The 12,879-nt window shown below is 36.7% G+C and overlaps 1 protein-coding gene across 53 annotated transcripts in view, besides 1 other annotated feature; it reads right to left on the minus strand.

Moving 5' to 3' along the window:
* Positions 1-12,879, minus strand: part of CAMK2D (calcium/calmodulin dependent protein kinase II delta) — a 310,707-nt gene that overhangs the window by 240,027 nt on the left and 57,801 nt on the right. The gene's annotated exons all lie outside the window — the stretch shown is intronic.
* Positions 1,996-2,065: an enhancer, noted in NCBI's record as "active region_21838". NCBI's record gives its function as "activates an Ori minimal core promoter by ATAC-STARR-seq in GM12878 lymphoblastoid cells {active_cell/tissue: GM12878}" and the evidence as "EXISTENCE:reporter gene assay evidence [ECO:0000049][PMID:35858748]".

The raw sequence follows: 12,879 nt of genomic DNA on the forward strand, positions 1-12,879 counted from the left end.
AGAATATTCCTTAATAGAACACTCTGGATCTATAACAACCAGAATCCATGACAGCAATTCACCACCATCACTGTCACAAAAAAGATACTAAAGGGTAGAACACCCTCCATTAATATTAAAAAGACATACGTCACCCATTACAACACTTTGGCTGAAAATCTACAAGACTGAAAACTCTACCTAGTTTGCATGGAGTGTTAGATTTAGTTACCATACTTGCTCTACCAATAGTTCAGAACATGAAGGTATATACTTTAGATTACAGCTATCTGTGCCTCCTGAATTGGACAACTAGCTGGAAAGAAGTGCACATGCTAATGGAAGGAATAAAGGTAATGCTATCTGGCTGAGTAGATTTTCCTGAGCTACAATCATTCTACTGATATATCTAAATCTAAAAGGAGCAAATGGGTCAGGGGCACAGTGGCTCACACCTGTAATCCCAGCACTTTGGGAGGCCAAGGTGGGCGGATCACTTGAGGTCAGGGGTTCGAGACCAGCCTGGCCAACATGGTAAAACACCGTCTCTATGAAAAGTACAAAAATTAGCCAGACATTGTGTCGAATGCCTGTAATCTCAGCTACTCGGGAGGCTGAGGCAAAAAAATCACTTGAACCTGGGAGGCAGAAGTTGCAGTGAGCTGAGATCACACCACTGCACTGCACCCTGGGCGACAGAGAGACTCCATCTCAAAAAATAAAAATAAAAATAAAAATAAAATGAGTAAATGTTTCTGAATGGTTGAGGAAATCCCACCAAATACATTTGCCACACTATTTAAATGGGTGGTGAGGGAAACTGGCCAAATTATGCAATGAATCTTCTGTGAAGTGTGGCCAATGAATATAATTCTGTGTTGTGCTTTAATGAAATTTTCTTCCTATTCCTGAGAAAAGGACAAAGAAAAATAGCAATACATGAGAAGAAGAAAGTCAACCATGAAACAGTTACGAGCAAGAATTAAAATGCTGCTGAGGAAACCACTGAATAATTTAAGAGTTCTTGCTAAGTGCCTCAATCTTCAACCTCTTGTTCTCTAAGAGAAGATTATCTCTAGCACTCAAGGTTCTTTCATAAATTCCAGGTGCCTTGTGTCTGCAGAAGAGTTCTCAACTGACCATATTTCTTCCATTCCCAAATCAAAACACCAATTCATCCCTACCTAAGGAGAATGCAAACAGTTATCCTCAGACCTCCTGATAAAATATATTTAAAATAAGTAACATCAATTTGATATCGTTCACTACATTAAAATATGGCCATAATTTTCTAAGTTTGTGAAAATTTTGAGTAATATTAAATTGTGATTATTTACATTTACATGGTACTACTGTAATTCCTGTTGCCCTAAATATTCATACAAAACATACATGCACAAAATATTTGGGAATAGGGAATATATCTATACATATATTCATACATACATATTCATATATTCATACATACATATATTCATGCATACATATTCATATATCATACATACATATATTCACACTATTCATATAGTCATACATACATATATTCACACATATTCATATATTCATACATACATATAGTCACACATTCATATATTCATTCATACATATTCATATATACATACATATATTCATACATACATACTCATACATACATACATATATTCATACATATTCATATATACATACATATATTCATACATACATATTCATATATACATACATACATATTCAGTGTATATATCTGTGTGTGTGTGTATCTATCTACCTATCTATCTATCTTGATATATTCCCTGGATACAAGTATATACATTTTACATTATTCTTAGAACTATTATCTTCATAGACTATCACTTAAAACAAATCTTTTCAAGTTCTATTAATATAATTTGCAGAACTGCTTATAATGGTTTTCATAAAGACACAGAGTTCATGAAAGTTCTTACTTTTACTTCCGTATTCAGGCAAAAACCCACAGGAAGTCATTATGTTCCCTCTGACCTACAGGAGATGTAAAAAATAAATAAAACAAGTCTACAGCAGGTACTAGAAACTGGTACTAAGCCAACCTTTCTGAGGGATACTGTCCATAGAATGGAAGGCAAGAAGTATTCTGAGTAAGGGGTCATAAGAAAGCCAGTCCTAAAATAATCTCCTCAAGCAGCAGTCCTGGCCTGTGTGGTTTCATTACGTTGTCAGAACCAACATTTGTACAGTTTATGAGCCCCAAAGCTCCCATAAAAAATTCCTAGGAGACCAGCCTGGAAGTCAAGAAAGCCAAAGAGGGCCTTAGCTAGTTCTGCTAAATTCCAAAATGCTAACAGATTTTTTTTTTAGACTTTATTAGTGTAAAGCATTTAAAATATTGCGTTTTATTGGTAGCTTCAGTTAAGACCTTGCTAAAGATTAGCTACTCACTTGCCAAGACCCAAATACTCCTCAAACTCTGATCCTCACAGAGAAAAAGGAAACATCAAGTAAAGGCAGCAAGTGTCAGAGGAGAAAGAACTAATGCCCTGTTTCCCTTCTCTTTGTGTCTAATTGTTTCTCATATTCCCTGCATTCCACCTGGGATGGAAATGTTTGTTTTTTGAAAGGTTAGTAGGGATTTATTGGAAATTTTCGCTCAGGACCTAATAACTTAAAAGATCTGCTGTGAAATCTGAGGACAGATATGGCTATCACCAAACACAAGTATAAAAATAAAACAATATTTTACTATCAATAAAAATGCTTTCATTTGTCTAGATTAAAATTGTTTGGAGATTACTGAAAGGTAATTTTTTTTTACTTTTTTACACTATCTAAATAATATTTTCTAATTTTCATGTCTATCAAAATGAACCCAAATAGGAAGACATATCTGCCACAAACCATTCTATAAGCATTCCAAAGCTAAATAAAAATGAATTTTAATATATCTACTCACTTATTCATGCTAGAGTAGCATTACCAAGCAAAAACCAAAACACTCCTCCTCTATATACAATCTTCTCATGTTTGTTAGTCTTAAAAACCTCACATGAAAATTAAAGACGCATTCATTATCCATATCAGCTAACCAGTTTATCTAGGGGTAGGCGGATTAATACAGGGGTGTAAGAAACAGCCAATTTGCTCAGAGAATGGAAATACCATATGATATCATCTGACCTCAAACTTTAGGAGTTTCCCTGACCCCCAGATTAATGGAGCATCAAGATACATTAAAGACTTCAGGAAAAGGAAGATCTAGTTTCTTAGCCACTGATGATTTATTAATGAAGCATTAACACAAACTCATTAATGCTTTCAGCTCTTGCAATGAAGCTGCCCTTTATTAAGTGCCTCCAATGTGTTTATGTTTTGAGAAGTTAATAATTAAGAAAAAAGGCATCGTGCACATCACTAAAAAATGCTTTATCTATGTCTCATAAAATAGCTATCTCTATGAATGAAAAAGCCAAGAATGGAGTTTATAAGAGGCTCTTATTTGGGGAATGTGGGTCACATGTTCACTAACTTTAGTGAGAAGTGGGAGGCAGGTTTGACTGGAACATTGCCCAAGATTATCACCAAAACCTGTGGGGTATTGGACAGATAGGAGGGGCAGATCCCCTTTGCTGTGCACTCTATCTTACTCTGTGCTTCATCCCATCCATATATGATAAAAAAGAAAGTAATTTATAAGAACATTGTCAAAAATGTCAAAAGATCAGTTTTAATAAGCTTTTCCTTATAAGCCACACCATACAACCCAAGGCACAATTCAGTGCTATCATACATTGTGCTCTAATTGGTTTACTACGTGAGACCAGGCTTTCTACTAATTAGCAAATTTTTTGAGGCCAGAAACTTTTAGTAATATTTCTCTTATTTCATTCTCAGTACAGGTACACAGTGTTCTTTAAGTGTTTATAGATTGATTCATGAATTATTAGCATATGGTTGATGGAAAAATAAATACTGCTAATAAAAGGAACATGAAAATAAGTTTCGCACTTTCTATTTAGAACATGATTTGATCACAACCTAATAGTCACCAAGAAGATGCTGTCACCTCACTACAATAAGCACTTACTCTGATTACATCACGAAGTGAGAAAAGAAAAGTACAATGTTCCTCCACATCTCCCAAGCTGGATGATAACTGTCAATACTAACTTCTGCCTTGGAATTTGTGGGATGGGAAGATAGGTAAGAAGAGTAAGTAAAATAAAGAAAAATAAACTAAGGGGGGAAAAGGAATGACAGAAGAAATTTTGAAATAATTTCCTATTCAGTCTCAGTGATTCAAATACTGTATATTGACAAGCCTGAATTTTTATCTCCAAATTTGACCTCTCTACTCCTCCCCTGAATTCTGGACCATATCCAAGGGTCAACTCTCTATCTCCATTTGAATGTCTAAAAGGCATATCAAATTTAACATGACCAAACTTAGCTCTTGTTCCTTCCCACCAAACCTATTGTTCCTGCAGTTTTCCCCATCTCAGTAAATGACAATTCCAGCCTGCTAAATTGCTCAGGCCATAAACCTTATCTTTGAGGCAATTCATTCCCTCACACCCCATTTTCAATTTGTCAGCAGCTCCTATGGGGTCTGCTTTCAAAATATAACCAGAATACAACTACTTCTCACCACCTCCCCTACAACCACCTGGGTCCAAGCCAGCACTGTCTTACCTGGATCACTTCAATAGCCTCCTAATTTATCTCCCTTCCTTTCTTGCAGTTTACTTTCAACCAAATTTCAACCAAGTAACCAGATTGACCCCATTGCCTCCTAAGACAGATAACATTATCCCTGCACACAAAACCTTCCAAATGGTCCCCATCGCTCACAGTGTAAATGATACAGCTCTTGCTATGATCTGCAATGCTATGTATGAGCTGTGCCCCTGCCCCTTACCTTATCTTCTATTACTCTCCTCTGACTCACTGCTCCAAACACACTGGTCTCCTTGCTTCTCTTTGAGCATATTACGTATGCTACTAACTCAGGACCTTTGCACCTCCTGACAACTCTTAGGAAGCTCTTGCCACAGATATCCACATGGCTATTCCTTTACCTCATTCAAAACTTGTCTCAAATGCACCATACTAAGGGAGGTCTTTGCTAAGCCATCATATTTAAAATTGCAACGCACACCACTTGACAGACAGACACACAGACACACAGACACACACACACACACACACACACACACACACACACATACACATATACTCCTTAGCCCCCTTCCCTTGCATCATTCTTCTCCACAGCCCTATTACCATCTCACATACTTCTAGTTTACTTAGGACTGAAATGTAAGCTCCATGGAGGTAGGCATTTTCTTCTGTTTTGATCCCTGGTATATCACCAGGACCTAGAATGGTGTCTAACACATATAACAATCAATAATTATTTTTTATTAAGTTGGTGGATCCATTAAGAAGCAAGAGAGATGAATTAAAGTCTCTACATAAAAAATCACCCAAAATCAATCTTCAGTCATCTCCCTGGTCTTCTCAAGGGTTGTTATTACCCACCTTCTAATATCTATTGATAATAGCTATTAGGTAAGTGTATTTGTAGGGGCCAGGAGCAGCCCTTGCCTTCTCATCTTCATCACGGATGAGATAAAATATACACAGAAGCCGCACAGTAATAATGGCTAACATTTGAATGCTTACAATATGCCAGGTACTGTTCTAAGCACTTTAATAGATTACTCAATCCTCACATAATTCCAAAAGGCAGGCTTCTCTTTCATTCTTTCCCAGAGGAGGGAACTGAACTGTAGAAATTTTAAGAAACCTTCACAAAGCTAGGAAGTAGAAGAGTCAGAATTCTAACTCAGGTCATCTCTCCAGAGGTCATGTTCATATCCCCTGCATCTAATGGAAAGATGGTCCCATTAGGAGTACAGAGAAGGTAATGCATATGAACGTTTTGAGGTAGTATGAAAAGCAGCATAATAAGAACTAACACTTGGATATACAAAGAAGCACAATGTCCCTCAATGTCCAAGGAGTCTTGATTTGGTACAGGAAACAGTAGAGACCTGTTGCATCTGAGCCAGGAGGTCAGTCGTACTGGAAGAGGGTCTCACTATAGGCACACTAACTCTGGTCTCAAGGTTTTGAAGAAAGAAGGGAAGGCAAAATCTACATATGGAAACATGTATATGCAAGAGCATGGAGACAAAAAAGAATGTGTTTATTCACTCATTCATTCACTAGCCATTCTAAGCCTCCCATGCTATAGGCACCAGAGGCACTAAGAACCAACAGATAATCCCTGTGCTTAAGGACATAGATAGTTACAGAAGAATGATCAAGAAACCAGCCTAAATAGATGCAGTTTGTTGGAAAAGTGGAGGAAGAGCTTAACAGACAAAAAGGGAAGAGATTATGGAGATTTTCAAGAGCCAGGAGTTTGAATTTGAATGTAAAAATATATTAATTATAACTTTCTGAGGTACACAATAAATATTTGTTGAATAAAGGAAATGCTATTCTAAAATACTTTCAAACGCCTGGCCTACTATATATTTTCTTCTTTCTGTACTTGGATAACTATTGCAACAGAGGAAATCATTTGCTGACATCTCTCAACCCACCAATAATCTTGGAAAATATGAGAAGGAGTCTTTCTTACTATACTAAGCCAGTTCTTATGAGAAATGACTCATATAATACCTGTTTTAAGATACCTAAAAAAAATTCCAAAGCATAGATGATTTTTTTCCTCTGAAAATGACTCCCTCAAATAGAGTCCTTGGAATTAATGAAATAGCCCATTTTCTCCTTGAATTAAACTCCGAAGAACAAATGCAGAAGTCATGGTGTTTAAAAGAACCCACCTTCTTCCTTTCTGCTCACAAAACTAGCGAGTCACAATGTTTACTCTTCTGGATCACACAGGAGAAATCATTTATAAATGGCAGTACAGATGTTCCTCAACTTATTATAGAGTTACATCCCAATAAACCCATCAGAAGTTAAAAATATTGCTAAGTCGAGAATGCATTTAATACATCTAACTTAACTGAACATCACAGCTTAACCTAGCCTACCTTAAAACATGCTCAGAACACTTTCATTAGCCTACATCATCTAGCACGAAGCCTATTTTATAATAAAGTACTGAATATCTCATGTAATTTATTGAATACTACACTAAAAATGAAAAATAAAATGGTTGTATGGTTAATCAAATTACAGTTTCTATTCAATGTGTATCACTTTTGCACCATAATAAAGCTGAAAAATCATTAAGTCAAACCATCATGGATACCATCTATATTCCATATCAATGCTCTTATTTGACTCTTTTCTCATACATTGACTTGGACATGTAACCAAAGATCTCTCTGTGCCTCAAATTCATCATCCGTAAAATGGGGATCTCAATAGATGTACCTTGTACAGTTTCTGTGATAATTTAATGAGGAAAAGCACATGCCATATGTATACAGCAGTGTCTGGTCCATTGTAAGAACTCAATAAAATGTTAGCTATCCTCATTATTATTATCTTACACACTTTTATTTTCTAGTAGTTTGTATTTTAATTTAAAATATTTTACAAATATATTTACTGCTAAAACAACTCAAACAGTAGAGAAAAGAAAAAGTAACCAAGAAAATCCCTTCTTCTCCACCCCTGGCTCCTTTAATCCCATTCTCCAAAGGTGTTACCATCTGTCTTTCCAAACATATTTTGTGATAGGTATATGACATGTTGGATGAAAGAAGCTAATTGCAGAACAGTTTACAGAGTGTGATCCAATTTACATAAATTAAAAAATGGGTATATAGCTATATCACCTGTCATAAAACATGTCTGAAAAGACATGCAGATAGCAATTTCACTTTGGAGAGTGAAATTAAGGACGCCAGGGGTGGAGAAGAGGGGAATTTCATGTTCACTTTTTCTACATTTTTGGGATTATGTCCGGATAATAAATTCTAGAAGTATGCCTTCTGGAGCAATGGTTATATCTATATTTCCATTGGATAGATATTGCCAAATTGCCTAGAAGAAATGATGTTTCTCAGTGGTATTCCATCAACTGAGAACACATATAATGTGATCCCTGGGCTTATCTACTGGCAAAGGCAGCTAAAAGGGATTGACTGAGGAGCCAACCTGAACAGAGTACAGAAGAGGTTTGCTGGAAAATATCTGGGGATGGTATATCTCTCATAGGCCATGGAATTAAAGTAAAAACCATATGAAAAATGGCTACTTTGGTTTTGTTTATCTGATAGTTTTTTCTTTTGTTTAATATCTATGATACCACCCACATACCTGAACTACCAAGGCTTTACCTTTCCAGACAATGTATTCTCAGAAAAAAGTGACATATTTAAGTGCTATTGATTCCTTTAACATTATGTTGTGGATACTGAAGCATATAATCTAAGGTTTACTAAGAGGTCGGCTCTCACAGAACATCAACTAGAAGCTCTAGAAGACAGAGGACACTACCACGTTTCTACTCTCTTCCACTCTGCCCCACTTTCCAGTCACCCTCTATGCCTAATCAGTGATTTACATAATCTATAAACATTTTCTGCCCATCATCAAGAAAAATAATCAGATCAGATTTATGGGGAATAAAAAACAGCCCCACATCAAAATAACAAAACAAAACACATTGTGGGAACTCCAATATAGTATATACATAGTACATACATTTTGAATGTTGAGATTAAATTGTTCTAATGCAAACTGAAATAAACTCAATCCTATGTATCTGCATTCATTATGATATAAACATGTCTTAACTTGTATTTTGATAAACCAAGGCACTAACTTTTAAAAATAAATTTATGAGCAAAAGACAGTCATTCTTTTAGAAAACTACTAGGTACTTTGATAATACAAATGTTCCTTAGGAATTATGAGTCATGTTAAGAAGATAGTTCTACTACTTGTTTATTTCATTTCAAATGACTATGTACTTAAGCATCCTACATTCCTGCTTGTCTATAATATCTCCATCTGGTACTTTTTGAATATCAAATTTTACTAAATTGTTTCTGTGGAAACGCAAGTATGTAATATCCAACGGGCAACTAAATTGAATTTATTTCAGAGTTACTGATTAAAGCCAGTCAAGATTGAGGCAACTTTTCAAAAAGGAACCAAAGAAAACCTGCTAACTTTAAAGAGGCAACCATTTCCCTGCCCCCAAGAAGGGTTATGGGTTATTTTTAATAAGCTCATAATTGTATATTGTCCATCTTTACTTTTGTCAATAAAATTTAAGTAAAGTATATTCTACCAATTCATAATAAAGACCAAGGAGGGATAAATTCTTTCGGGTTGAGAAAAATCACCATATACTGACAAAATATTTATTTCTTGTTCAGTTCTCAAGGCAGTAACAGTGGTAAGAAAGTAGGCTATTTCAACTCCTGCTGGCTCTGTGGGCATGATTCTAAAAGGTAGTCTTGTGCCACACTTCCCAACCTTGTTAACAAAGGGCCCTCCTCCTTAGCTTTAAATAGCACTATCAAATAACCAACTCCTTCAAATTGAGAAAAAACAACAAAAATAAAAAAACACTTTCCTCAAAACCAGAGTAGTGTAAGACTGTGAAACAAACAAACACAGGAGGTCCCAGGTAAACTGCTTCAGCTACCTCTCTAGGGTGACCACACAGTTCACTTTCCCTCCTGACGCTGGCTGTGGGCAACTCTGTTTTCTCTGCAGAAAAGGAAAAGAAAGCAATCATAGCTAACTGGCAAGAATAGGCTCAGCTGTGTCTGCTGGTATTTGGAAAACTGGAGTGGGCAAAATGCCAGGCCACCCTTTAGATGAGCCTAGGACACCCTTGAAGGGTATCCTTCCTACCCTCTTCAGGAATAGACTAAGGGAAAGGAACCTGATCCATCCTTCAGGAAATATCCATCACAGTCCATCATCAGAGTAATTTCAAGTTCTCAAATTTCAACTAATAAGGTTTTAGTTAAACAACGTATTCAACTATCACTTACTGATGATGCATGAAATCAGGCACTGATAAAAAAAAATTAGCAGACAAATGGATATATTTTTCTTTAACAGTTTCTGTTCCCTATAATCCCATTTGTCTTTACTAGATTAATTCTTCTAAAGCACTGTTTTCTTCATGTCACATCCCTGCTCCAAAAGCTTTCTGCTGTCCCCAGGATAAAGCCTTTTGGGCAATCTTATAGCTTATCATTTCAAACGTAGACACTGTGGGCTATTCAGGTCATTAATCTCATTCACCTCCAAAAGAATTTTTTATTTTTTCCCTCTGTCTCTTTGTTTACTTAACTCTCAACAATTGGAATGCTATTCATCTTTTTGCCCATTGAAGGTTGGATTCTCCCAGTAACAGCAGACTCTGAGATGGGGTGTGGTATGCAAAATGTTGATTAGAGAATTCCCTTGGGATCAGAACCTCAGTAAAGAAGCAAAAGGGTGCAGAATTGAACAGGGAGAGAAGCTAGGCCAAAGCACTGGTCCAAGGAAAATTGGCCAACACCTTAAGGAGCTCTGGAGCTAAAATACAGAATCCCAAAGTTGTCTCAGGTTAGCTAAAATGATGGGACCTTCATACCTCCCCTGCCATTCGTCACTGAATATGGGCCACCCTGGGAAAGTTATGACCTTGGACAAGGGGCCTCTTTACAAAGCAGCTGAGACCGTACGTAGGTTTTATGTTGTTGTTGTTGTTTTGTTTTTTTTTGAAACAGGATCTCACTCTGTTGTCCAGGATGGAGTTCAGTGGCCTGATATGGCTCACTGTAGCCTTGTCCTCCCTAGGCTCAGGTGATCCTTTTACCTCAGCCTCTAGAGTAGCTGGGACCACAGGCATGCGCCATGATGCCCAGCAAATTTTTGTAGAGATGGGGTTTCACCATGTTGCCCAGGCTAGACTGGAACTCCTGGGTTCATGTGATCTGCCTTCCTCGGTCTCCCAAAGTGGTGACACTATAGATGTGAGCCACCATGCCTAGCTCAATTAGTAGTTCTTTGAAGGGGGATCTGGGGAGTGCATCACTATTTTATCACTCTTTTCTGCTCAAATTGTTCCATCCTTCAAGATCCCCTCTAGTGTACTTCTATATCATACAATGCCTGAATACATTCATAATACTGTCACTTAATAAAATTTCACTTCCATTATGTAACATTACTAAGAGGTTACTTTCACTAGAGTGTAAGATGCTAGAGGCTAAGGTCCATGAGTTCTACCCTCATAACTTCTTTAGAACAAGGGTAAGCAAACTTTTTTATATTAAGGACCAGACAGCAAATATTCTAGGCTTCGCATGTCACATACGGTCTCTGGTGCACATGCATTTTTTATTTACAATCCTTTAAAAATGTAAAAGTCATTCTTAGCTTACTGGCCATATAAAAACAAGACAGATATGGCCAAAGGGACCATCATTTGCCAACTTTTGCTTAAGAATAGCACTATTGAATGGAAATTTAATGCAAGCCACAAATGCAAACCACATATATAACTTTAAATCATCTGGTAGCCACATTTCAAAAAGCAAAAAAATATATAATTTTAATGGTATATTGTATTTAATAAAAAATATTCTTATTTCAACACGGAATTAATATGAAAATATTGGTTGGGCACAGTGGCTCACATCTGTAATCCCAGCACTTTGGAAGGCTGAGGCAGGTGGATTACTTGAGATCAGGAGTTCAAGATCAGCTTGGCCAACATGGCGAAATCTCATCTCTACTAAACATACAAAATTAGCTAGGCATGGTGGTATGCACCTGTAATCCCAGCTACTCAGGAAGCTGAGTCATGAGAACCCAGGAGGCAGAGGCTACAGTGAGCTGTGATTGTGCAACTGAATACCATCCTGGGTGACAGAACGAGACTCTTATCTTAAAATATATATATATACATAAGTGATTTTACATTCAAAATCTTGGAAATCTAGTGTGTATTTCATATTTACATCAAATCTTAATTCAGACTAGACACATTTCATTTTAAGTGCTCACTAGCTACATACAGCCAGTAGCTGCTATACTGGACGGCACAGCTAAAGAAAATAGGGGAGCATGTTTTGATAAATGTGAATTTGTTCATTTAAACAGTACTCACTGAGTTCTAGCTGTTGAGAATACAGATTGATTTGTGCTAAATATGAGAATACAGATTTAATAGGATTGAATTTTCACCCTCAAGTAGTCGAGGGTTCAGTGAGTGATACAGATAGATGATATAATAACAATGTGGTATATTAGTGGTGTAGAGAAAATGCTACAGTAAAATTTTAAAAATAGGTTAGGTCTGTTTTGTGTTTTTTGTGGCTTTTGTCTTAAGACAGGGTCTTGCTCTGATGTCCAGGCTGGATGGAGTACAGTGGTACAATCACAATTCACTGAAGCTTTGACTGGCCCAAACTCAAACAATTTTTCCACCTCAGCCTCCCGAGTAGATGGGATCACACGCGTGAGCCACTATGCCCAACTGACTTTTTTATTTGTAGAGATGCGGTATTGCTATGTTGCCCAGGCTGGTCTTGAACTCCTGGGCTCAAGCAATCCTCCAGCCTTGGCCTCCCAAAGTCTGACGTGAGCCACCACGCCTGGCCAGGGATTAGGTTTTAACTGGTCACCAAACCTATAAGAACTTCTTCAATGCACTGTTGATTCTTTAAAATCAAAATTTTTTAAGTTAAAATGTTTGGACTTTTAAAGATGTATTTCTTTTTACAAATACCCTCTGAATGAAGGAAATAAATTTGGGATGCAACAGGAATAACACTACAACTGGATAAGAAGTGCACAATCTTTCATGATGAATGGATGATCTATTTTATAGAAAGCACAAAATGGAGGGTGTATTTTCTCAAAGTATATTTTGAATTTCTGCCATGGTTGCAGCTTTCTATTTCTTATGACCTTTTTTTTTTTTTT

Source organism: Homo sapiens, chromosome 4 (assembly GCF_000001405.40).
Source record: "Homo sapiens chromosome 4, GRCh38.p14 Primary Assembly".
Classification (NCBI taxonomy): domain Eukaryota; kingdom Metazoa; phylum Chordata; class Mammalia; order Primates; family Hominidae; genus Homo; species Homo sapiens.